We start from the raw sequence: 26,822 nt of genomic DNA, 5'->3' as shown, positions 1-26,822 counted from the left end.
TGGTGTCCGGAAAGGATTGGTTCCAGGACCCTGGAAGATACAAAAATTTGACGACGCTCAAGTCCTTTATAGACAATGTCATCATATTTGCATAAAGCCTATACACATCCTCTCTTATACTTTAAATCATCTCTAGATTTACTTATAATACCTGATAAAATGTAAATGCAATGTAAATAGTTGTTATACTGTATCATTGTATTGTTTTTTATTTGTATTCATTTTTACAAATTGTTGTACTATCATTATTTATTTTGAATATTTTCAGGCCAATGTTGGTTGAATCCCAGGATGTGAAACAGGTGAAGATGAAGGGCCCATTATATACCTTGTCGCTATTTAAAGATGTCTCAAACTCTTGGAATTTTGATGTTTTTGAACATGTAACTTAATGGATCCTCCTTCATATTATTGTAGTTTCTCTTAATACTAAAGTAGATATTATTGCCTTGGTGTATTTTACTTTTAAGTTTAAAAAATTTTTGATTTAATGATACTCTTGAGGATTTTAGTTTGGGATATTACCACTGTCAAAGCTGGCAGGTTCTTCACTTGATTAAGTCTTATTTCCACTCAACACCATTTAAGTAGTTTGAGACTGGTTATAATGAGCATTGGTACAGGACTGGCCCCTCTTTTCAGTCAAGGTCAGTTGGCAACAGCTATACACTGTTTCTTTATTTTGGAAAGGTTTTGCTTGCGCAAAGACTTACTCTTTTAACCAAATCCTGCTTTTCATCTGTTTTTGATGGCAACAGACCATATTTCCCAGCCATTTGCAAACAGTGCCTGTCTGGCGGGATTTCCTGGACACAGCCCTTGACAACCATTACTGGCCAACTTTTGAACTTCAGTGTTTAACCTGGTTATTTGTTCTGTGTTTTCTGCCATGGGCCATGGGAACCATAAGCTTATCCTTTTGAGACTAGCAGAAGGTCCAAGAACAATCCATTTGCTAATTGGACCCATTGCTTTCCCCAGCCCATTAACCTTCATGAATCAAATCTTCCTTCCAATATCCAGCTATTCATCTACAAGTCAGTACTATGCAGAGTGATACTTTCTAACCAAGGTGCCTATGGTAGACCTTGGTCATTGCCATTTTGGAATCTTTACCTTATGGACTGATATAATCCAAACATGTCAGTGTGTCATAAAAATTGGTTGGCCAATTAAAGATAATTTGATAGTGCAAATATCATTAAAATTGTTCTTATGTACAAATAATAATTTAAAAATCCATATATAATGACTTACAAGTAATAAGGCCGTACTTTTTTCACTCTAAAAAAAATAAGCAAATGATAAAACATTCATGCTCTTTGACCCAGTGGTACTGATTCTGGGGCTCTAGCCTAAAGAAATAACTCAAAACATTGAGAAAAGCTTATGCTTATGGATGTTTGTTGAAGCATTATTTGTAATGAATAAAGAAAAATATAAATATCTAACAGTAAGGAATTGTTAATTAAATTATGATGTTGATGAAAGTTTTTAACGGCATTTGAATATTGTTATGATGTTAAATGAAAAAAAAATGGAATACAGCATTTTCCACAATATGGTCACAGCCATGGAAAAAACATGCATTAGAAAAAAGACAGAAACCAGCCAGGCACAGTGGCTCACGCCTGTAATCCAAGCAATTTGGGAGACACTAGGAGACACTAGAAAGAAGATTAAAGAAAATTTCAAGAGTGCTTGGCTTGAGTGCCAGTCAGACTTGGGTCCAAATTCCTACTCTTTTACTTATGAGCTATGTAGCTTCAGGCAAGTCTTTTAAACTTTTGAGCCTCAGTTTCCTCATTTATAAGATGGGGATAATAATTTTTCCAGGATTATTGTGAGTATTAAATGAGATAATGATACAAGTAAAATTCTTGATAATCTATAGGCAACCAACAGCTGGATGGTGGCAAGTACTAATTCGTAGCTTCAAGATGTTCTCAGTTGTATTCTTGACTTTGGCATTCTTCTGTTACGTTTGCACTGATTTTTGACATGCTGCTAGGAGACAGGTAATGTGAAGGATCTATTGGGGGGTTTGCCTTTACGGCTTTTCTGGTACATTGTAGGTCAAACACCAACACCTGTGTTAGGCCCTGTCACATATTCAGGGACCTTCACTGTTCACCTGAGCTTAACCAACAACACTCACCTGCAGGCATGCACTTGAGTACAGATGCTGCTTGTTTTGAGTGAAGCAGATACAGAAAATCTTTAACTACAATCCCATTTATAAAAGGGTGGAGCTTATTTCTTTTAAAAAATAATCATTCCAAAAAGATTTGCACAGAATTAATTTTCAAAGGGTGACCTCTCTTGTGCATTTAAAATGTGATTCAAGCAAACCAAACAAAAAAAGGATTCGGCCTACACTTTCAGTGGCACGAAGTAAAGTGCACTTGTGTCCAAGGTTGGACTCCTTGCTTTTCTTCCAAGCATCTTTCCCAGTCTCATCATTTACTAGTTTATATTTTAAACTTAGCTTCAGAATGCTTATGCTGATGTTAATGAGTCTATCTTCAAATGCTATTTTAGTTTATCTTTTTTACTTTATTTTATTTTTTTTTGAGACAGGATCTCACTCTCACACAGCTCACAGCAGCCTCACCCTCCCTTGAGCTCAGGTGATCCTTCCACCCCAGCCTCTCGAGGCACTGGGACTTCAGGTGTGCGCTGCCACGCCTAGATAGATAATTTTTCTTTTTTTCTTTTTTTTTTCCTTCTTCTTCTTCTTCTTCTTTTTTTTTTTTTTTGTAGAGCTGGGGTTTCACCATGTTGCCCAGGCTGGTCTCGAACCTCTAGGCTCAATCTATCACCCATCTTGGCATTCCAAAGTGCTGGGATTACAGGCTCCTGGCCTATTTTAGTTTCTCTCTGTTCTTTATAGTGGATCCTTAAGGCATAGAGAATTTTAGGAAGAGTATGAGCATGGAATAGTAAAGTCATTGTTGTCAGCATACGACAGAGGGAAAGTCACTGAGTCTTTTTGATCCTTGGCTTCCTTATCAATAAAATACTAATATTGGCACTGTTTACCTAACAGTTATTGTGAAGCCAAATCACAATAGCTAACATTTATTAAACAATTATGTGTTCTAGGCACCATGTTAAGAGCTTTGCATGCTTTATTAACTTTAATTTCAGGGTAACTTTATGGAGTAGATCATTGTGTCCTAATCATAATGGTAGCTAATATTTATTGATAGTTTTCTATCTGCCAGGTTTTGTTCTAAGGTCTTTGTGTGTCATAGATATTGGTAGAAAATGGAGGCACCAAGAGATTAAGTAATTTGCCCAAGTTAATTTAAGTAGAAAGTGTAGGAGCTACTATTGGAACACAATCTGATTCCAGACGTCTTAACCACTGTGCAATATCTCCACTGTATAGATGTAGAAACTGAGAAATAGAAGCACAGTAGCTTATCCAAAGTCACACAGCTAGTAAGCGGCAGATCTTACCTTCAAACAAGATTCGCCATTGCGCACATCATTATCTGTTATGCAACATGGCTTCAAAGTCTGAGTGATGGCACCAGGTACTGCTCTGAGTGCTCTTCAGCCTCTGTCCTCAGAGTCAAGAAAATGTGTACCAGTGGCGGGTCCACTAGAAGATCCACTGCACTACGGCTGTTGCCTTGTGTATTCAAATCCACAGTTCCTCATGTCCTGAGGTCAGCGAGCCACAGAGAAGTGGGCTCACCTTTTCTAACTTAATCAGTGCACTGACAGAGGAACAGGTTACAGAGGGATTTCTCTGGGAAAGCTGTGGTGCCAGGGCTTGCTTGTGCCCAGCAAGGGAATTAGAAATGCCAGGGCTAATTCCCCAGTGGAGAATGATTCAGAAGAAAAATGAATTCCTGAAGGCTGTTGTGTTATCAGTGCCAGGTCTGAGAGAGCAGGGCAGGAATATGATGGCTTGTCTTTGGAAAACATCCAAACAACTTTCAGTTTCAGAACAGACTTCACTACTTCTCTTAGAACACTTACTGTCCTTTACTGTAATTTTTGTTATAACTGGAGGATAGAAGGAAATATGCTATTTGATTTTATGTACAAAGAATTTTGAGTCCATTGAGCTAATAATGTCTCCCAAGACAATACCAGTTTATGGAGAACTTGGTTTTTTGTTTTTGTTTTTGTTTTTTTTTGAGAGATGGAATCTCACCATGTTGCCCAGGCTGGAGTGCAGTGATGTGGTGATCTCTGCTCACTGCAACCTCCACCTCCCGGGTTCAAGCGATTCTCCTGCCTCAGCCTCCCGAGTAGCTGGGATTACAGGTGCGTGCCACCATGCCTGGGGTAATTTTTGTATTTTTAGTAGAGATGGGGTTTCACCATGTTAGACAGGCTGGTCTCGAGCTCCTGACTTCAGGTGTTCACCTGCCTCGGCCTCCCAAAGTGCAGGGATTACAGGCATGGGCCACCGCGCCTCGCCCAATTATGGAGAAATTTGAACCATAATATGAATGTTAATTTGGGAGGAATTCTACTGCAGTTCATTTTGGAAACTTGAACCAAGTAGGAAGGATTTTATTGTTAAAAAAATCTGATCACATTTTATGTAATAAAATGTCAAACATGCAAGGAGAGAGTAATAGGGTAATGACCCACCATATACCCCTTGCCTAGATTTAAGAATTGTTAACATTTGGTATATTTGTTTAATATGTTATTTAATAGTAGTATTTTCAAGCAAATAAAATATATGATATTTTACTCCTAAATACTTAAATAGTTGCCTCTAAAAAAGAAGAACATTTTCTTACATAACAAAATTACTATTTACATGTGTGACAAAATCAACAATAACCTATTTTTTTCTTTTGTTTTTGAACATTTTCAAACCTGAAAAAATGTTGAAAGAGAGTTTGCTCTTTATCTAGGTTCAGCAATTGTTAACCTTTTTCCAAAAGAAGTTATAGGCAAGGCTGGGCGCGGTGGCTCATGCCTGTAATCCCAGCACTTTGGGAGGCCGAGGTGAGTGGATCACGAGGTTAAGAGATTGAGACCGTCCTGGGCAGCATGGTGAAACCCTGTCTCTACTGTAAATACTAAAATTAGCTGGGCGTGGTGGTGCATGCCTGTAGTCCCAGCTACTAGGGAGGCTGAGGCAGGAGAATCGCTTGAACCTGGGAGGCAGAGGTTGCAGTGAGCCAAGATCGCGCCACTGCACTCCAGCCTGGCAACAGAGCGACACTCCGTCTCAAAAAAAAAAAAAAAAAAAAAAAAAAAAAAGTAAAAAAGAGGTTATAGGCAATATGAGATTTTCCCTAAGTACTTTAGAATGCATTTCCTAAGAATAAGACATTCTTTTATACCATAACAAATTCTATTATTATACCCAAGAAAATTAACCTTAGTACAATAATATGACCTAATATTTAGCCCTTATTCAAATTCCCCCAGTTGTTCCAAAAATGTCTTTTGTAGCTCTGTGTGTGTGTGTGTGGTGTGTGTGTGTTTGTGTGTGTGTCTGTTTTCCCCAGTGCAGGATCCAATCAGATTCACATATTGCATTTAGTAATAATTATGTTTCTCCTGATTCAAAAAGTGTCTCTCCCCTTGACCATTTTGTTTGTTTTTCGTCTTAACCTGTTTTGAAAAAAACTTTAGACCACTATCACACACGATGGGTTCTTTATGATTAAATTAGGTTAAAATTTTTCACAAAAATACAGCATAAATGATTTTGTGAATTTCTTATTGTATCTTATCAGGATAGAAGCAATAATTTCTTAAAATATTATTTAATATCCAGTACATATTCAAATATTCCTAATGGTCTCAGATGTGTTTTTTTACATCGGCTTGCTCAAACCAAATATTGTACACCATTTAAAAAAAATCGACATAGAAAAATCAATTACAGTCTTTTTGAGGGGGAGGGGGAACTCCTAAACCAGAATAAGTTCAGAGAGGCCCCCTGACCACAGTCTTAATTTCTATTCCTTGTAAATGCCTCAGAGTAATTCTTAGGCTTCTGCTATATGGAAACTACATCCCTTTGTCTTTTATACAAATTACTTGAAAAAAATGGAGGTAATTTCTCTTGATTACTTTAAGAAATGAAGTAGAATTTTTGTAGAACAGTATACAAACCATAAATAAACGGCTTGATGAATTTGCACAAATTGAACACACCCACGTAAGCAGGTCTCTGACCCAAGAAACAGGATTTTTCCCAGCTCCAAAAAGCGCCCCTTCCAGATTCCCCAAGGGTACCTACTCTAACATCCAGCGTCATGGGTTCATTTGCCTTATGCAAATTTCTTCTCTTTCCCTGAAAAAGGAAGCACGAAGTAGAGAAGCCATACAAAATATGTATATTTTAATTAGGTATTTTGAAAGCCCACCTTCAAAGACATTTTAAATGATATACTGTATATATTTTCACACAAAATAATTCCCACAACAATGTTTTACATAATGGTTTCATTCAATGGCTCCCCCTGCTTCCCTAGAATTGGGATTTCATCCAAAACACTAAAGGTTAAGTTATCAATAGAACTCAAAGAGCATTTTGTTTCCATTTGTATAAGTCGTTTAATGTTTTTTAAGTCCACGCATGTGTTAACAAAGGAGGCAGTCAATTACAGGGGAGCTTAGCAAGGCATTCTTAGAGTTCTCTTCAGTGGTGAGCAGTGTCGAAGTGGAATCAGGAAAAGAGCAACCCTTTTCACTGAAGGAAATTATTTTAATTAGTAATTCTCAAAGGGTAATAAACAGTCAAATATTTCTGAAATCTCCTGGCTTTGGGGCAAGTAATTACAATGAGCATGCAATTAAAAAAAAAAAAAGAAAGAAAACTAAGACGAGGGCATGTACAATCAATTAAATAGAAGTAATTACATTATGAGGGCTTCATGAGTAGTGTACGGTGCATTAACATTGTGGAGACAAAAGCCACCAGACAGCACATTGTATGTGCAAGTCTTTTGAATCTGAGGTTGGTTTTCATGGTCTTCTCGATTCTACGTTGTGGGGCTCTGCCACTGGTAGTCGGTAACTTTCTAATGCACTGAACTGGCAGGAGTGATGGCAGCATGCCTATTTGTGGTGTCTAGGGAAGCCTTCTTAAATCATTGGTATGCCCAGCCTAAATCAGATCACGCGGATCCTGCAGTCGGTATCTGGGTGATACTGTGATTGGTACATGAGTGTAACTTGGCTCGGTGTGCCTGGAGTTTTTTTTAGCAGGGATAGGAATCTACCATCTCTGGTGTGTTTTTCAATGTGGCATGCCCCAGTGACATTAGTGGAGAAGGGACTTGCTAAAGTTAGAAAGTAAGATTGAACAGCTGGGTTCAAGGCCTTATACTAGGTTCCCACCAGCTGTTTCAAAGGGATGGAGAGGAGCCACCCAGAGTGCTTTGCAGCAGCTGTGACCCCGAACCAAGGGAAGCTTTATTTCGAAAGCACACTAAGAATAGATACAGGCTCCTGATTTTAAAATACAGCGGACGATTAAAAGCTTTCTGGGTATAAACAGTTCAGGTCACTTTTTAAAAACACAAGTTAATTTCAAGCTATATGGAAATTTACATGTGTGTTTTACATATGTATATATATTTATACACATACATATATGCCTGTATATATATATTCTGATATATGCCGATTAATCTCTCTAATCTATATTAGCTCTGCTTTGAATGAACTTTGTCGTTGGGATGCTTTGGCATCAGGGCTTCATAGCATTGTACTTACATTTATTCAGTGCCTTTGGATAGGAACGCCTGTAGTTTTTTTAGTTCTGGTCAGTTGGGTATAAAATATTGCCATAGTGTCAGAAGCACAGTGTGTGTTCAGACAATGCTGTTGAATCTGAAGTCATGCTTGTAATAAATACCATAAATAGTATATTTTGCAACTTCTTAAAATGTATTCTATAGGATAGTAATAATTAAGTGAAAAAAGTTACACATAAAATGAATTACAGAAATGTGGGATTAAGCTAATTGAAAACTAGAATCTTTTATATGCATATGTATTGTATAAATATTAGGAGAGGAATATAACATTCAGTGTTTTCCATACTTATTTGATAACAGAACCCTTTTGGGTGCAGGGGTGAGGGGGATTATCTTCTAGGACTGATGTTTTATAGAACATCATTGAGGTTACCTTGCCCCATAGCTGTGTCTCCTCACAGTCTGGTTGAACCTGAAAGCATTTGTTACCGGAGAAGTAGATTTTAGGTGGAAATACCAGATGCAGTTGGCAGAATCAGAAGTGTCTCTCCCTTTGCTGAATTCACAATGACTTTGTATTCACTAATTCTTTCTCCTACCCCCTCCCGCAATGTTTCTCACATTTGGCAACATATGATAACATTTGTACATTTTCCCGCACTTTTGTATTAATATATTTATTACGGGTCTGAGTATTTAAACATGAACTTTTTTCTCAAGTCATTTAAAATGACTACAATTCCTAACCCAGAATGAAATGTTTCTTCTAATATAACTATTTTTAATTTCAGAATACATTGCAAAAATGTTTTTTGTGTAAATGTTTTAAAACATAAGATATTATCATGAAAAGGTAATTTCTTAGAAAAATTGGAATTTATCTCTACTACTTTTTTTTGTTTAGAGAAAATTTAGGAAAAGTGAATGTACATCTTGAATTTTAGTTAAGTAATTACAGTTATATAGTCAATTATAAAGGCTGGTTACATAGCTTATTATAGACTGAACACATTTTATACAACAGCCCTATTTGAATATTTTCCCTAGTTATTAAAATAATGAAAACATTAATAAAAACTAAAGGCAATATGATATTAAAAGCATTAATAAAAATGGAAGGCAAGTTAGGCTAAAGTTACTATCAGAGACTGGCTTCTGAAGGAACAGGTTTTGGCTTTCCAAGTGGCAGGGCCTTAAGAATCACATCCCCAGCTCTGGCTTAGGGTTCCAGCATTGCTCATGGCATATTCAGCTGTTGCCTTGCATCTCCAAATCTATCTTCAGAGTCCTTTTACCTCTTCCTTTTAGGTCATAGTGGAGAGTTGGCGTTCCGCTTTGTATTTATGTTTTTTTAAGTAGTATTTGTATTTCTTTCTTTCCTTTCTCCCTAACAACTACAGGATCACATGGACCTAATTTGTTTTATTGTCACAAGAGTCCCTTTTCTTGACAGGATATGCCTAATTAAAACCAGGGTGTTAAAAAAAAAAAAAAAGCTAAGTTTTGCAGGCAAGTTGACATACTGTGTGACTCAAGGGTTTCAGGAGGGACAAGGAGGGATGGTGGTGTGTTATTGAAGCAAGAGGAGGACCAAGCCTGCAGGAGATATTGTTCCAGGACAAAGTCAGGCTATCAGCAGTGCTGACGGTCCACCTCCCCTTTTCCTTCCTTCCTAATGGCCCAAGTTATGCACGTCAGCCTCTTTGGGTTCACAAGGCAGTATTGTATCATGGAAAAAGCCCTAGACCTTATTATGAGAACAAGATTTGACTCTGCTCTGCCACATGGAAACTAAGAACTTATTAAGTAGGTTTACTTCACCCAACTCTGTTTCTGTATCTTTTTTTTGAGACGGAGTCTCCCTCTTGTCACCCAGGCTGGAGTGCAATGGCATGATCTCGGCTCGCTGCAACCTCCACCTCCCGGGTTCAAGCGATTCTCCTGCCTCAGCCTCTCGAGTAGCTGGGATTACACCCGCCACCATGCCTGGTGAATTTTTGTATTTTTAGTAGAGATGGGGTTTCACCACGTTGGCCAGGCTTGTCTGAAACTCCTGACCTCAGGTGACCCGCCTGCCTCGGCCTCCCAAAGTGCTGGGATTACAGGTGTAAGCCACCGCACCCGGCCCATTTTTATTTCTTAAAAACAGAGATTAGTAAGCCTGTTATGTAATGATCAAGTTAAGATCATTTTTGAAGCCATAAAATGGTATATAAATGTCAACTATTATTATCAGACATTAACAGCATGGTTATTGTGAATATTATGACTAATAATTAATATGAATAATTATTATTGTAACTATCATTATTACCATGATTGTCATTATTAGGAATATAAGTAGCAATTCATTCAACATACATTTATTATTTAGTGTCTATTGTATGCTAGATATGGTGGACTTTCAGGACCCATGGTGTATAGTACCTGGTAGAGGCTCAGCCGAGCAGTTTGCAGAATCAACAGGAATGAATTGAGAATGACTTAATTTGTTTAATAGAATGTGACAGCATTCTCTAGAATTTGTTCCTTTCTGGGGCAAGTAAGGAACAAATCTTCCTAGATTAGTTTTATGAGTACTTACAGATAAAAACATATATGATGTGAATAAGATTCAACTGTTATATTTGATACCTAGAAGCAAAATGATTTGTCGAAGTAAACCCATTAAATATGTTCATTCATTCATTCATTCATTCCTTTAATTCAGTCACTTATTCTATGAGTAGTTTTTTAATGTCTGCTGTGTGTAAGGCCTTCTGCATTTAGTCCATAGTTGGGGCTACTGAGAAGTTGAAAGCTGCTTTAAAGTCTCCTTTCATTTTAACACCATTAAAAAAAAAAAAAACTCATGGAAAGGAAAAATCTAAATGTATCCTGTAAAGAAAATACCATTTCCTCTGGTAATTATGATGGTCTATATCCTGTTTAACTCATTGCACGGGGTTCCTCTCCAAGTCAATGAGGATTGCGTAAAGAGTCTGAAGGCAGGATGTGCCTCATAGTGGGATGAGAAGGAGCCTTGTGGCTGGTCGTCAGACTAAATTTAAACCATTATTTGTTGTGAATATATGATTAACGTGGGGGTTAAAAATGAAAAATACAGCTGCAAGAGTAGGTTTCTTCCTTTGATAAAAACAGAAAAAGTCAGGAGGGACAAGAAGAAAACAAACACAGTTACGTGAGGCATGCATTCTCTTTCATAAGAACAGTCAAATATATTTTAGCCTAATCTTTCTTTCTAGATACAATAAATGCCGCTCCCTTCTGGATTAGGCAGATGACAGCAATAACAGTATTGCAGCTGGGAGTCTCCCAGGCTGACAGGTGCTGGATATAAGATGCCCCAGATTGTCCTGTGAAGTACAGGACATGCTAGGCCCTGCTGGATCTGCCCAAGGAGAGGGCAGCTCCTGTGTCTGTTGACACCTCGTTTAGATTCTCCCGCTCACTCAAACAGCTGCCAGAGGCAGCCGTAAAATATTGCTTAATTATAGAACTTCCCTTGATCCTCTTTATCCCTTCCTTCTATTGCATTTTTCCCCCTTTTGTGCCTCTCTCTAGTTCAGAGCACCTTTAGGCTAAGCACTCATGGGAGTATTATGGTGGCGCCTTTTCCAACTCACAGTTAAGGCAGAGACAAGATTTTCAGTCCTGCACTATAGCTGTGGAATTATTTTCAGAGGCTGTAATGAGCAGGTATAGGTTCAAATGTGGAATGCAGCATCATTTTTTAAGCAGGAAATGGGTTCATTTTGGGGGGAGGATAGCTTTCTCATTTTTTTTCTGATTAGAAAAATAATGCTTATTGTACAAAAAGAACAAAGAAATGTAAAGATATGAATAAAGCCTACTTCCCCCTTGTTCATATGTGTTCTATTTACCAAAACGGGATTATGTTCACTCCCACAATATATTTTAGCAAATACAGATCCATGTAATTTATCATGTCTGTTCAGTCTTCCACTGTCTGACTGTACCATAATTTGTTTAACCATTCTATCATCATACACTAAAGATAGAAACAAAACCGCTGTGGACATCCTTAAGCATACATTCTGCATACTTGTATTGGTTTGGAGTCATGTTTGTGATTTACAGGGATGCGAAATGAGATCATTTATTTCTCTAACATTAAGGAAATCTGAATTAAGGAACTCAAGAGCTGGTTTGCTGGCTCCGCTGCACCTTTCTGCTTAGTTGTTCTTACTGAGTGGCTTCCATTCCTCATAATTCCAGCTGTCTGCTGCAGCTCCAGCCATCACGTTCATATGCCAGGCTGGAGAAAAGATGGAAGGGTGGGAAGCAGAAACGTATGTCTATTGCTTCCGTTTAAAAACCTTTCCCAGAAGCCCACACAGCACTTCTGTTCATTGTCTAGAACTTAGTCTCTTGGCAATACTTAGCACCTAAAAAGGGAGAGCAGATATTCCAAAGCAACAACCATCTCTGTCATTCCCATCTAATTGTTTTCTGGGAATAAAAGCTTTGTGCAAATGGACTTACTGGATCAAAGCTTTTCCCAGGTTTTTGTTGCATATTGATATACTGCTCTTCAGAAAGATGGTACCAAGTTAAGTCTAGTAATATGCGAGAATAACCCGCCGTAAGTTTTCAGGTTCTTTTGTGTGCATTTTATGGGCATTTTTAAAGCTATTTTTCTGAAGCTGCATTTTTTCTTTTGTTTATTAAATCATACATTCTATAAAGAGTGAGGTGGAGATTTTACTATTTACAATTTTGTCTTCAAAATCTATGTCTGTACAAGTAGAATATTCATTCCAAGCACTGGAAGGACATTTTAATGTTATTCGCACGTATTTCCTCTACTCCTAAGAAAACTTATTTGGAGGTTGCCAGTTGAATTAATACATTAATCAAAGTAAGGCAGCTCTCTCCTGTTTTGAAAAACTTCCTGTCAATTAAATACAAGGCACAGTGTAAAAGTGGCTCTGCCCAAGTTAGTGTTTAGACAGAAATGTTTGTATTACACCGTGGTGTGACCATCAGCAGCTCCATAAATAAAGGAATCATCTGCCGGCGCTTCCCACCTTTTGGGTGGGGTCTGTTTTCTCCTTCAGTGGAAGGACATTGGGGTCATCATCATTACTGCTGAAATGTTATTACTTTAGATTTTATCAAAAAACTTGGTGTCACCAGGTCTGAAGGGAAAAAAAAAATCAAACTTTTTTCTTTTTACCCTCACACACCATCCAACACAGCACTTCCGATTCCCTAGCAGACACCAACTGGGTGTCCTGTAATTTCATTCAATTCTGACACTACCTACCCAGAGATAGTATCAGATCTCACAGGCTAAGGGCTTAGTCCCACAAGACTGCACCCCCTCCAGCCCACCTTTTTAGATGCCAATTGCAAGCTACAGGTGGTGACCTGTGCTTCTGACTAACTCCCTCCTTGGATTTGATCCATTTGCTAGAATGACTCACATAACTCAGGGAGACACTTCACTTACTTTTACCCATTTATTAGAAAGAATGTTACAAGGGATTCAGATGAACAGCCAGGTGGAAGAGATACATAGGACAAGGTACTTGGAGCTTCCACACCCTCTCTGGATGTGCCACCCTCCAGGAGCCTTCACATGTTCAGCTATCCAGAAGCTCTCTGAACCCTATCCTTATGGATTTTTATGGAGGCTTTATTACATAGGCATAATTGATTTCATCACTGGTGATCAGCTCATCCTTCAGCCCCTCTTCCCTTCCCTGAAGGTTGGGATGTGGTGTGGGACTGAAAGTTCGAATCCTCCAGCCATGTGGTTGGTTCCCCCTGGCAACCAGCCCCTTCCTAAGGCTATGTAGGAGCCCACCAACAGTCACCTCATTAAAACAAGAGAAGTTCCTATCACCCAGAAAATTCCAAGGGATTAGAAGCTCTGTGTCAGGAGCCGAAGTCAAAGACCAAATATTAAAACCAAAGATTCTCCTAGCACCCCTATCTACAAGGGTTATAGGAACTCTAGATCGGCAATGGTGACAGAGATTTATTTCTTAATATATCACAATATCACACATGGTTTCCCGATTTGGTTATTCAAATTGGTTTATATTAGCTTTTTTTCATCTTTCTTTATCTTGCGAGTGTTACAGAATAAAACTCACTTCTCTTCAAAGTTAGAAAAGTGACCAGCCAAAGGATTACTATCACTGAGGGATCATTTAGAAACAAGTGATTATTCTAATGCTACTAACTTAAATAAAAAAAAAAAAGTTGGTGAATCAGTAGATGGCCGTGCCGTATATATTCTTGCAACTTTCCTATAAGTTTAAAGGTATATCAAAACAAAAAGTTATATACGCACAAATAGATGTTGATTTTATATGATTTTTATCTGCTACTTTCATGAAGAAGGATGGGGTTTGAAGTCATAATTGAAACAGGTACATATTTTTGTACTTTGTTAAGTAAAAAATTAAATCAATCATGTATTTTTTATTAACATCCACTTGTGGGTACAAAGATACTTACTGTTTGGAGTTTGCATAAACATACTTGTTTAAAAACAACAGCATTTTTTAGGCTAAATCTGTTTTTCCATTAGTTGAAGTCATAGAACCTTCAAGGCTTCCTGCATTTCTGTACCTGGTATGTCCCCTCACATTTTGGAACTATTATCTCCTTGTAAATTATTAGAAAAATTAAATTAGATTAAAACTTCTTGAGCATTTCTTTATTAGGAAAAATGGAAATCCATTACATATTCTTTTGCTTGCATTCAATCTTACTGTGCTTTTTACTGCAAGCTGAAGTCCCCTTTCTACTTTAAATGGGAGAGAAAATCTTGTGCTGACATGAGATGCTCATTACCACCAAGGCACTCATTACCAACAAGGGCAGTAAAGGAATCGCAGCTTTGGCTGCCTCTCACACTGAATCTGAGAGTTGCTATTATTAGAATGCAAAAAAAAAAAAATTGTGGGGTGCTGGTGGGGGAACTATGTGAGACTTGTGGTTAGCTAGACCTGTGTTTTAAGAATATTTTTGTCTCTGAGTCAATTGTTACTTAACTACTCGACTATATGAAATCAAGTATATCAGCCAGGTGCAGTGGCTCATGCCTGTAATCCCAGCACTTTGGGAGGCCGAGGCAGGCAGATCACCTGAGGTCAGGAGTTCAAGACCAGCCTGGCCAACATGGTGAAACCCCGTCTCTACTAAAAATACAAAAAAATTAGCCTGGCGTAGTGGCGCATGCCTGTAGTGCCAGCTACTCAGGAGACTGAGGCAAAAGAATCACTTGAACCTGGGAAGTGAAGGTTGCAGTGAGCAGAGATCGTTCTCCAGTCTGGGTGACAAGAGTGAAACTCCATCTTAAACACACACACACACACACACACACACACACACACGAAAGAAATCAAGTATATCTGTAGTTTTTGCAGTAAATTGATGTCTACCATTATTTCTCTCCATTTTCTTGTGTTCATTGTACTATAAGGTGTTTATTGATTTTTTTTCTTTTTTTGCATTTGAATTACTCAGATCCCTTTAAACAGTTTGGATAGATTTTCACAAGGGAAAGGAAGGGAACTAATATTTATAGTGTGTCATGCATATCCGGCACTGTGCTAGGTGCTTTACTTTTGTTATTTGATGAAATTCTCAAAACAGCCTCATGTAATGGATGTTCTTATGCCCATTTTACATTGGAGGAGACCAAGGCTTGGAGATGTTACTTACAGTAGTCTCTTAGTCAGTTAATGGCAGAAACAGATCTCAAATCCACTGTACCACTCTGCCTCATTTGGGTGATATTTTCGACTGAAGATGCCAAGAAATACACGTAAAGAAACATTGTAGGCTGGGTTTGAAATGTGAACCATAAGCTGTGTTTCCTGATAATTATTTTCAAGGTCCCCAGTAGCACTCTCCCCTTCCTCTGAAGCCTAAGTTGGTCCCTTTCGATGCCTCAGTTTTTGTCTTTGATCCTCCAAATAATTTCTTGCAAAATGGGAACCTCACTCTGAAAAGCACCTCTAGTCTCTCTTGAGATGCCGGGGTTCATGCCAGCCCTTTTTCCAGTTCAAGTTGTGTCATGCCTTTCAAACATGTGCAAAAAGAAAGTGGCTCTGATGGCCAGAGCCAGGGTGGCTCATCCTCTTCCCAGAATTGAAAAAAACAAAACCAACAAAAAGGAATTAAATCTCTTCACATGAATAGAGGAGAAGCTAGCCTAACCCAAAAGAATTTTTGGTTTTAAAGAGGATTTGCCTTCTTTTTTGGGATGAGTGACATTTAATTCACTTGGCCCCATTAGAAAGAAGAGAAAGGAGGGCAGTGCAGCTTTAGCTTCGACATATTTCACATTTGGAGTGGCTTCGGAGCAGCCAAGCACTGGGTCAGTGTCCCATTTAAGAACAACTGGAAAAAACAACATGTTAAAAACGTGTTAGGCACAGAGAGCATGGAAAAACAATTGTCAAAGTATTTTAGCATTTAGAGTAGCTTAGTGGCTACTCTAAAATACTAACTTCTTTTTAAGACTTATTGTGAGATTGAAGCTGATTCCTAGATGTTAGATGCAGTTGATATGGGAAACATTTCTAACATACAGCTGTTGAGACAGAGTGTCAGGCTCTGGACCATTTATAATAACAAAAACAATAGAGTCTGTGCTGTTTACCACCATACTGCTCGTTGTTTCACTGCCACCTTCTCCCTGCTCATTTGACTGCCAGCTCCTTGAGGGCCTAGGTATTACAGGCACTCATCACCGTATGCATGTTGAAGTGTCGTGAATTCATCACTGAGTGCCTAGCAAATCCCGACATACATATTTGGGTACAGCATCACTTCATCTGGATCTTGGGTGTAGAAATAGCACCATATTCTAACCCTGGAAGAAACTGGCTGCATTGGGCTTACTGAAAGATAATATAATGTACACAAAGCCTAGTGGACTGTATATTCAAAAGTTTTTCAGTGGTAATTTTTACCACACTCCACATTTGCCAAAACTGATTTTGGGGAGCAGAGCAAGGTGGCACGCATGTGTAGACCCAGCCTCGGGAGGCTGAGGCAGGAGGATCACTTAAGCCCAACTGTTGGAGTCCAGCCTGGGCAGCATCTCTTTCAAACAAAAGAAAACTGAGTTTGGAACTGAATCCCTATGGAAGATGTACCCCACTGTAAATACTTGTCTAATGAAAAAATGGATGAATACATTCCACTTCCTATTAATTATTCTAGAATTCACTATTCATGTGGCTGGGCGTGGTGGCTCATGCCTGTCATCCTAGCACTTTGGGAGGCCGAAGCGGGTGGATAACATGAGGTCAAGAGTTCAGGACCAGCCTGGCCAACATGGTGAAACCCTGCCTCTACTAAAAATACAAAAATTCGTCAGGTGTGGTGGCACACGCCTATAATCCTAGCTACTCAGGAGGTTGAGGCAGGAGAATCGCTTGAACCTGAGGGGCGGAGGTTGCAGTGAACCAAGATTGTGCCACTTCACTCCAGCCTGGTTGAAAGAGTGAAACTCCATCTCAGAAAAAAATAAGAGTAATAATAATTCACCATTCATAAAGCGTCTCATCTTTTCTCTACTTCTGATTCTCATCCCATGTTTTTGTTTGTGAGAAAGGAGAAAAGTGAAATAAAGACTCTACCAAGTACATATTTTATACTTGACATCTGGAAATAATATCGTGAAATAGACTCTCACATTGTTGTGGAGTTCCAACACAATAAACTTAAGGTGATTTATACATCTTTTATTTATTTTATTTTATTATTATTTTTGAGACAGAGTTTTGCTCTGCCGCCCACACTGGGGTGCAGTGGTATGATCACGGCTCACTGCAGCCTCGACCTCCCAGGCTGAAGTAATCTTCCGCTTCAGCCTCCCAAGAAGCTGGGACCACAGGCATATACCACCACGCCCGACTCATATTTTGATTTTTTTTTTTTTAGAGATAAGATCTCCCTATGTTGCCCAGGCTGGCCTTGAACTCCTATGCTCAAGCAATCCTCCTGCCTCAGCCTCCCAAAGTGCTAGGATTACAGGCGTGAGCCACTGTGTCTGGACTATACATTTTTTAATAGCATTATTGATCCTGGCATGAGAGGAGAAAAAAAAATGCTGGTACTAATAATAAAATTGTTTGCAACGCAGCCAAAGTTCTTTAATATGGCTCTTGGCCCAAATCAAACAAGCAACAGAAACTCCCAGTCCTTTTTTTTTTTTCCTTCTTATGTTTTCACAAAATAGGAAAAATGAGGTTAAGCAAGAATTTTGCTCAGTTTGCAGAGGCAAAGTGAGGCTTGCCAGGGCCGGGTGCTGTTGGGGTGCGTGCAGCATATGACGGGGTGTCTCTAACACAGTGACTGAACTGTTCACCTTCTGAAGTGAGGCTCCTGAGTCACACCTGGGGCTGTCTTGATGAGTCACCAGCCTTCCAAAGTGGTTTTCTCTGGGAAGTGGCACTTCACAGTGCCACTTTTTTTTCCCACCCCAGGGACAAAACTCTGGTAAATGAATCCCTGCAGGAACCACGGGTATTACAGTCCTGATTTGGCTCATCTGCTCTTTGGGGCTGACAGCAGCTTTGCTTGACTCAGCTTCTGCCTGACTGAGTAGGTTCAGACAGAATGAGTCTGCAGAAAAGTCGGTGGTGCTCAGTGGGAAGGACGTGAGGGAGATGGATCACCACAGCTGGCCAGGGCAGAGGCACTAGGAGACCTTTCACATGGCTGCTGTGCCTACTGCTGCTAACTTAAACAAGTGGAAACTTCTTGGCAAGTCTGTGAGGGAAGTCGAGGATTAGAGCCTGGTAGTTAAAAATACAATCCCTGCCATTCATTCAGAATTCCAGAGAATGCTGAAATTTTTTGAATTGGCAAGTGAATGGTAGAGACCGGAACCATACACTGAAATAACTTCTCTGGTCTTGTATCATCTTTTATTAGAGGATCCTAAAAAAATCCCCTATTTATATATCAGTTATTATTTCTGTGTCATAGACTGCAGCTATGTTTGATGAGCTGCTTAAGTGAAAATCTGACCGGAAACTTTCAACTATAAATTCTTTGTGGTTTCAAAGAAGGATGAACTTTCTCATCTAACACATTTCTGCTGTGTGAAGAGTCACCTTTATTATATGGCATGAGTCTTTTTTTTTTTTTAATAGCTTTGGGGTTTAAACTCTGAATGCTTTGCTAATAGATGTGTCAGCTGTGCACATTGGCAGCTTGACTTTTACCTCTTTGTATCTTCTATTCTGATGCATTAAAAATAGCAGGAGATGGTGCCGTTTAGGATTTGGGCAGAATGGAAGAATCATTATAACCAATAATAGTGTTTTAAAAGCTGCCTTGGGACAAAGAATTATTAATTAGGGTGGTAGAAAGAATGACAACGTGGGAGGAAGATTGATTAGGGTTTCTAGAAATACAGTAAAACCTAAGCTATGTATCTCTTCAACCATGTGAAGAGCTATTACTTTATTTCTGATTGTCAACATATCGAAGTTCAAAAGCCGACTCCACATTATGCAAATAGACTGATAACGTTAAGCAGAGGAGATCAATGTACTGGATGGCTACTAATCTTAATATTGTCGCCAGGCGCGGTGGCTCACGCCTATAATCCCAGCACTTTGGGAGCCTGAGGCGGGTGGATGGCCTGAGGTCAAGAGTTTAGATCAGCCTGGCCAATATGGTGAAACCCCATCTCTACTAAAAATACAAAAGTTAGCCAGGTGTGGTGGCACACGCCTATAATCCCAGCTACTTGGGAGGCTAAAGGAGGAGAATTGCCTGAACCGGAAGGCAGAGGCTGCAGGGAGCTGAGATCGCACCATTGCACTCCAGCCTGGGTGACAAGAGCGAAACTCCGTCTCAAAAACAAACAAACAAACAAAAAACCTAATCTTAGTATTACAAACATGATCAGGTCGGGTTGCTAGTTTAGATGTGGGTGGTGAGCTGAGCATCCACTGCGATGGGGCTTCTACTGTCATGGGCTCCCTCTGTGATGTGGCCTCCCTTCTGTGATGAGCTCCCTGGGGTTTCTCCTGCAATGGGCTCCCACTGCAATGGGCTTCCACTGTGCTCAGCTCCCATTGCATTGTGGTTTTAGGTGACAGCAGAGGGACTACCTGGAGAAAGTGTGCATCTGGGCCTGGGAGAATTAGTAAGTGTGCATACCACCCCTGTCTTTGTTCTTGTGGTTAAGACTCATCTCTGGTGTTGGTTAGCAGAGCTAAGTACCGTTGGCAAAACAAAAGGTACTACTAAAAGAAATGTAAGATATGAGTAAGATATATGTCATTTCCTAGGTCTTGAAATCTAAATAAGATCACACTAATAGAATGTTTAATTTGATTTAAATGCAAACAGTATTTATCCCCAACATACAACGAGAAAGTAAACCACCTTTTGCATACTTGTATTCTAATTCCAGTTGAGGAAAATTTTAAAAGTTTAATATAAGTCTTCGGCAAGACTCCTTGCCATCTGGTACAGGATTAAAAATTGGCATAGCATTTGTTGTCTACTGACAGTGGGTCAGATTTACTTGGCAGGCCCTATCTGGGAATTTATCAACCTCATCCAAATCTGTTTCAGTTTCCATTTTTAACACTAGTGGGTCTAATTGGACTGAGTCACAAGAAGCAAGTTGCAAAGCTGTTTCATTTAGCAAATTTTAAGCTAATTGTCTTCAGTATGTACATTTGTTTTAACATTAAGAGGATGGTGAATTGGCCTAGTAAATCAAAAAAGTTTTAAAAATCTGATTTTCTGAAATAAGACAGTTTGCTTATACTTAAATGGGGATTGTAAATATCATAGGCTTGGCAGCTTTTTTTCTTTTTTGTTTTTTAAGAGCTAGGGTCTTTTTATGTTGCCCAAGCTGGTCTCCAACTCTGGGGCTCAAGCAGTCCTCCCGCCTCAGCCTCCCAGAGTGCTAAGATTACAGGTGTGAGCCACCACACCTGGCTAGCATTATCTGTGGAACATTTCTTCTGGAAGAGCTTGTATTCTACTGGAAGAGAAAAAAGGAGGTAGTAAGGACAGAGGCTACAGAGGAATTTCACTGAGGGGATGAAGACAGGGAGCAGTGAGTATGATTGAGTTTTAAACCAGTCTGCCTTGGTTTTATGACCCCAGGCTGTCTTTAAATTCTCATCTCATTGGTGTGGTTCTCTTTAACTGCTCAGCTAGGTTGTGGCAAAAGAAGAGGCAGTTTGGAGGCTGCTTCCAGGTCCCGTCCTAACCACTCTGCTGATGGAGGGGAGCCCTGATGTCTGACACTGTATGAAACTCTCATTTATTAAATAAATGGTGGGCAGAAAAAAGACAAAACACTTATGTTTGAAGACAAAATCTTTGCCCATAGAAATAAGCAACATGCTGCTAATAGTTTTAAATTCTTTCAAAATGAAGCACTTGTAATCATTCCTATTTTTATATCTTTGTATGCTTCCAGCAATACAAAATACATTACATGGGATTCTCTATTTCAGAAAGTCCTTGTTATACGGCTTCCTTCATCATAAAGTTAGTGTGGGTAAATTCATCCAAAAACACCAGGCCTTTTCCTGGGTGGTAAGAAGCTGGAGGATTCTATTTTATTTTATTTTTTTTGAGATGGAGTTTCACTCTTGTTGCCCAGGCTGGAGTGCAATAATGGCGCTCTCTCAGCTCACTGCAACCTCCGCCTCCCCGGTTCAAGTGTTTCTCTTGCCTCTGCCTCCCGAGTAGCACCACCATGCCTGTCTAATTTTGTATTTTTAGTAGAGACAGGGTTTCTCCATGTTCGCCAGGCTAGTCTCTAACTCCCGACCTCAGGTGATCCACCCGCCTCGGCCTCCCAAAGTGCTGGGATTACAGGCCACTGTGCCCGGCCTGATTATTCTATTTTTACAGATAAGATTTTTATCTTTGCCTTTACTATGTTTGCACAATGTTTTTGATTTTTACACCTAACCAGTACATCACCCATCATGCATAATAGGTATACGATCTATGGTTGTTGAAAAAACTTGAACCAAGTGTTGCCAACCTTGGAAGGCCAGAGCTGCCTTCTCTGCACTCACTGCTGAGTGAGTTTGGGAAGCCAGGAGAACTGGCCATGAAATCTGTAAGTGACTTTGGTGGTCATAATATTCCCAGAACAGACCTGCTTTATCCTCACAGTGAGGAACCAGTATATTGTTAGCTTTTTTACCCCTGTCTCATGCATATGGGTAGTGTGACTAGGATATCCAATTAGATCACACAGGGTCAGAGCTAATATTAAACCCGGGCACCCAGGTATATGTGACTCCACAACTGCGTGTGGTCTTTGCAGAGCCCACAGAGTCTGGCAGTAGGCTGCTGTGTCTGGGAGATGCCTATGTGAGTTGTGCTGTTATTTCATGGGCCATGGTGACCCAGGGGGACTTGGATACCAGGTGTCCTTGGGATATGTGCCTGGAGGTGAGATAGTGAATGGATTGTCAGGCAGAGAGGGTGGGGGGAGGGAAGGAGGAAGGGAGGAAAACCAGAAAGATTGGCAGAAGGGAAGCCCAGAGGCCATTGCCCTCATCAAGGTGAAAGGTCATGAAGGAGGTAGAAGGAGGTAGCAGTGGCTTGAGAGGAGGAAACTGGAGCAAAGTTAACACCCCCTCCGCAGGCTGATGGGGAGGCCAGTCTGAGGGGAGGGTGACTTGGAGGGTGGGAGTGCCACCCCACCAATTTCAAAACATTTTAACCCCAAACACACAATTTACCTGTTAAATAAAATGGCTTTCTACATTTGCGTCTTTCTGGAGGAAAATATTAATCCATGAGGGAAAACTGATTTCACACGACATGGTTTTTCATAACCTACCATTTCCAGCCAAATATCTTCTCAGAGACGTGGTGACCTTTCTTGCCCCTTAGCAAACTCCATGCTTTTGTCCAACCTGGGCAGTTCTCTAAGCAGAGACTCATAATGTAATTGGAGGCCAGGAATTGGTTGGTCTTTCTGGGACTGAGAGAAGGAGGCTGTCTGGGAAGTAGTGGTCCAAGGGGCTCTTGAAGGAAGGGGAAAAAGCCCACTCCCGCTTATATTTGTTACAGGTACCGTTAACCCCACATACCACCAGGGCTCTCCATGGGAAGCACTTGTAGAGGATTTTTCTTTTTTTTAAGTCGAGGAAAAAAATGTTTACTGTCAAGAAAAGCTTTTCTTCCCCGTAGGAACTGCTATTCTTTTTCTTTATAAACAGCATGGGATCAGGTGATTGATTCCATTTGTCCCCTGATTTGAGCCACACGAAGATAGGAGCCAAAAGTGTAGTTTATCTTCAGGAACTCTTTTTGTTTGTTTGTTTGTTTGTTCTTTGAGACTGAGTTTCTCTCTTGTTGCCCAGGCTGGAGTGCAATGGTGCGATCTCGGCTCACCACAATCTCCGCCTCCTGGGTTCAAGCAATTCTCCTGCCTCAGCCTCCTGAGTAGCTGGGATTACAGGCATGTGCCACCACAGCCGGCTAATTTTGTATTTTTAGTAGAGACAGGGCTTCTCCATGTTGGTCAGGCTGGTCTCGAACTCCCAACCTCAGGTGATCTGCCCACCTCGGCCTCCCAAAGTGCTGCTTATACCTTATGACCTGTGTATTCATGCATCAATTTTCTTTTTTGTCTTTTTGTACCTTCATTAGTATTTTTGTTTTTACTGGTTGTGAAAACAATACATAATCACTGCTAAAAATCTGGAAAGTACAAAGCAGTTTAGATAAGAAAAAAAAAATTACCAGTGAGCCTGTTATTTGCATATATCACCATAAATAGTTTGATATGTTTCTTTTTCCTTTTTTGTTCCATTTTCAAATATGAAACCTGTACAGTGTATGTATTTATACAATACACATATATAGGCAGGTTAAATATATTTGTATATGTGTGTGCATTTCCAAGGGAAGTTATACTTTTAAAACAGCAGAGAGTTTTTCTTGAAGTAGACTAAGCAAGGGAGTGAAGCCAGGAAGGAGGTGGGAGTAGCGGGGAAGTGGGGATTAATCTAGCTAAATTGTGGGTCCTGGCAAACACTGAGATTACACTGTGAAATACGAGAAAGGAAATGACTCAGTAACATTGAGAGAGGGAGCAGAGATGAGACAGCAGAGTGAAAGAGTGAATGGCGTATCCTGGGTTTGGGAAGTGGTGGGAAGTAGGGGGAGCTGGAGCCTGAGGCACTAAGTGATTAGAACAATAGGAGAATTTAGTTTTCAGATGAAATCATCAAGGCTGTATTAAGTGCCTCTTGTGAGCAATAGCTCACTCTTACTTGTTGCATTCAGCCTGGGAGCCACTCTTGACACCATGTTAGCGCAGCCTTACAGCTGATGTCAGGTCGACTGGTCTGCAGAGCCAGGAATTTGGGCTTTCTTCTCAGAGTTGTTTTGGAGCAATGAGAACTGCTCACTTAAGAAAGGCTCCCTCTTGTACTCCAGCCTTTGGGGAATGCTGTGAGTGACACTTTTAATTAACAAATCCACTGGGAACAAAACTCCTTTAAATGTGTTGGCTGGGTGTGGAGTTTGAAGGGTGGGCCGTGGAGGCTCCCACTGCACTGCAGGAGTGCTGGGACTTCAAGCCATGGGTAAGCTCGGTCAGAACTGTCAGGATGAGGTCCACCCAGAAGGCCCCACACTCTGTCCCAGGGGATTTAGGCTGGCAAGCTGTGCTGGCACTCCTGGGGCAAGATGAGCTCATCTGCCACTTCAGATGCTGGGCTTCCTATGCTAGATGTTCCTGCTCTTGCCGCATTCAGGAGCCACAGCCCACTTGTTCAGAACGGGAGGGGAGAGTGGGGGACGAGCATTTAGGAATGCATCATTCCAGCTCCTGTATTATTCCTAGAGCTGGTAGCTGAAATTCTGACCACGGAAGTGTCCTTGAACATCTTCCAGCAAATGATGTATATTTCCACATCTCACCGGGGCCTGTGCTGATGTTGGTTCTAGCACAGCATCAATATCCATGATGTCAGAGAGTCTAAGAAAGGTTTATGAAAGAGAGAAGGATTCTTTTCCTTCTGGTACCAGAGTGAAAACTATTTATGTAGCACATGTCTGCCTTGGAAAACATGCTGCTTTAATAGAATGAGTTCTGAAGGAATAATCAAAGCATTTCTTAGGTCTAATTATTTTGCTAAAGGGAGTTACTTAATTTTGACATCCTCATCAATTAGTTCCTCACTTGGAAGGCCTGTGACAAGCCTGAGGCTGGCTATGAGTTTCCACCTGCCCAGAAGTTGATGGATTTTATGAAAGCTTTAAACAGAACTACAATTGTGAAACTGAAAGTGTAAACTAAAACTATTGTTTTTATTATTATTTACTTTATACTTAGGGAAATGATTTTCATCTCTTTACTTCAGTATTTCCCCATCTTTTTTTTTTGGGGGGGATGGAGTCTCACTCTGCTGCCTAGGCTGGAGTGCAGTGGCATGATCCCAACTCACTGCAACCTCCACCTCCCGGGTTCAAGCGATTCTCCTGTCTCAGCCTCCCGAGTAGCTGGGGTTACACGCGTGCATCACCATGCCGGCTACTTTTTATATTTTTAATAGAGCTGGGGTTTCACCATGTTGGCCAGGCTGGTCTCGAACTCTTGACCTGTGGTGATCCACCCGCCTCGGCCTCCCAAAGTGCTGGGATTAGAGGCGTGAGCCACCGCCCCCGGCCTTTTTTTTTTTTTTTTTAATCACATTTATTCTAAAACCTTAGACCTTTAGACCCAAGTTTTCACGCAAGGCAATGGATGAGTTCCCCTTGGCAATACCTTCAAGTCTTGCATTAAGAAATCTGAATAACAATTTTAGCAGAGGAAGCATTTAAAAATGAGGAGACAGACTGAAAAGAAAACAAGACAAATACAACTTCAATGCAAGGAAGTTTCTAGACTGATTAAACATAACGAAAGTAAAAGTGGTTTCCTACCTTAAAGATTCAAAGGAGGCCATTGTTATTCAAAAGTGAGGTGTGTTTAACAGAAACAACAATCATGCTCCTTTTGTTGTATGTCTAAGGAAGGTCAATGGTGGGGGCCTGACTGGAAGAGACCCACCTGGTTGTGAGGCCCAAAACAAAGGGCTAACATTCAGTTTCTTCTATCATGTTTGTTGTCTTTGATGGATATGGAAAGATCTCTGATACTGGGCTGGGTGCGGTGGCTTGTGCCTGTAATCCCAGCACTTTGGGAGACTGAGGTGGGAGGATCACTTGAGCTCAGGAGTTCGAGACCAGCCTGGGCAACATAAGGAGACACCCACCTCTACAAAAAAAATTTTTTAAAAAAAATGAGCCAGGTGTGGTCGCAGGTGCCTGTGGTCCCAGGTACTCAGTAGGCCAAGGTGGGAAGATTGCTTCAGCCCAGGATGTCGGGGCTGCAATGGGCCATGATTATGCCACTGTACTCCAGCCTGGGTAACAGAGCAAGATCATGTCTCGAAAAAACAAAAAAGAAGGAGAAGGAGGAGAAGGAAGATTTCTGATACTGTTTATAAAACAAAGTAGAGGAACGGGATGAATCTACTCATCATATATATATATATATCACAAACTTTCACTAAAGGAAGAGTTTGATGGAGTGGGACAGAGTCTCTAAGGTACCAGGAGTGACCTGCAATGTGATTTGGAAGGTGGTAGGCAAAGCTGGAGGCCATGTCCACCTTTCTTAGAATGTACTGGAAACTCTGAGCAGAAGCTCATGTTTCATGTTGGGTTAGTTTCTCTGTGATTAAGTCACAGTAACAAACTGGAAGTTGTATGTGATCAAACATGTAATCATGTCTTCTCCCTTGTAAACCTTCATGCCTCAATATCTAAGTTTCTCCATAAGCTGGCACTAGTTGACTTTCCTACTATTATTTTCTAATACTCTGCCTTCCAGCTACCCTATTGTCACCTTGCTTGGTGACAGTGAGCTTCTTGAGGGTTTTATGTGTCACCTTTGGGGACCTTGAAATACCTTACACTCCTACTGTGAGAGCTCACTAATGTGGTGTTCAGAAGCTGGTTTCATGGGCCCATCTTTTGCTTGATGACAGCCAAAGGGATCCTCATTATGTCAATTCTATGAGTCAGGAGAGTATGGGGTACTGGCTGGGAAGGTGAGCATGGCTCCCC

The 26,822-nt window shown here is 40.3% G+C and overlaps 1 protein-coding gene across 9 annotated transcripts in view, besides 3 other annotated features; it reads left to right on the top strand.

The window, feature by feature from the left end:
- The window catches only part of WWTR1 (WW domain containing transcription regulator 1), a 207,554-nt gene that overhangs the window by 124,597 nt on the left and 56,135 nt on the right, over positions 1 to 26,822 (top strand). The gene's annotated exons all lie outside the window — the stretch shown is intronic.
- Positions 24,143 to 24,769: an enhancer, noted in NCBI's record as "NANOG-H3K27ac-H3K4me1 hESC enhancer chr3:149293210-149293836 (GRCh37/hg19 assembly coordinates)". NCBI's record gives its function as "activates a minimal SCP1, AML or CMV promoter by ChIP-STARR-seq in naive and primed H9 embryonic stem cells {active_cell/tissue: H9 hESC(naive and primed)}" and the evidence as "EXISTENCE:reporter gene assay evidence [ECO:0000049][PMID:30033119]".
- Positions 24,770 to 25,396: an enhancer, noted in NCBI's record as "H3K27ac-H3K4me1 hESC enhancer chr3:149292583-149293209 (GRCh37/hg19 assembly coordinates)". NCBI's record gives its function as "activates a minimal SCP1, AML or CMV promoter by ChIP-STARR-seq in naive H9 embryonic stem cells {active_cell/tissue: H9 hESC(naive)}" and the evidence as "EXISTENCE:reporter gene assay evidence [ECO:0000049][PMID:30033119]".
- Positions 25,397 to 26,023: an enhancer, noted in NCBI's record as "OCT4-NANOG-H3K4me1 hESC enhancer chr3:149291956-149292582 (GRCh37/hg19 assembly coordinates)". NCBI's record gives its function as "activates a minimal SCP1, AML or CMV promoter by ChIP-STARR-seq in naive H9 embryonic stem cells {active_cell/tissue: H9 hESC(naive)}" and the evidence as "EXISTENCE:reporter gene assay evidence [ECO:0000049][PMID:30033119]".

Source organism: Homo sapiens, chromosome 3 (assembly GCF_000001405.40).
Source record: "Homo sapiens chromosome 3, GRCh38.p14 Primary Assembly".
Classification (NCBI taxonomy): Eukaryota; Metazoa; Chordata; class Mammalia; order Primates; family Hominidae; genus Homo; species Homo sapiens.
The sequence above is the reverse complement of the archived record's forward strand: the minus strand, read 5'-3'. Positions and strand labels throughout refer to the sequence as shown.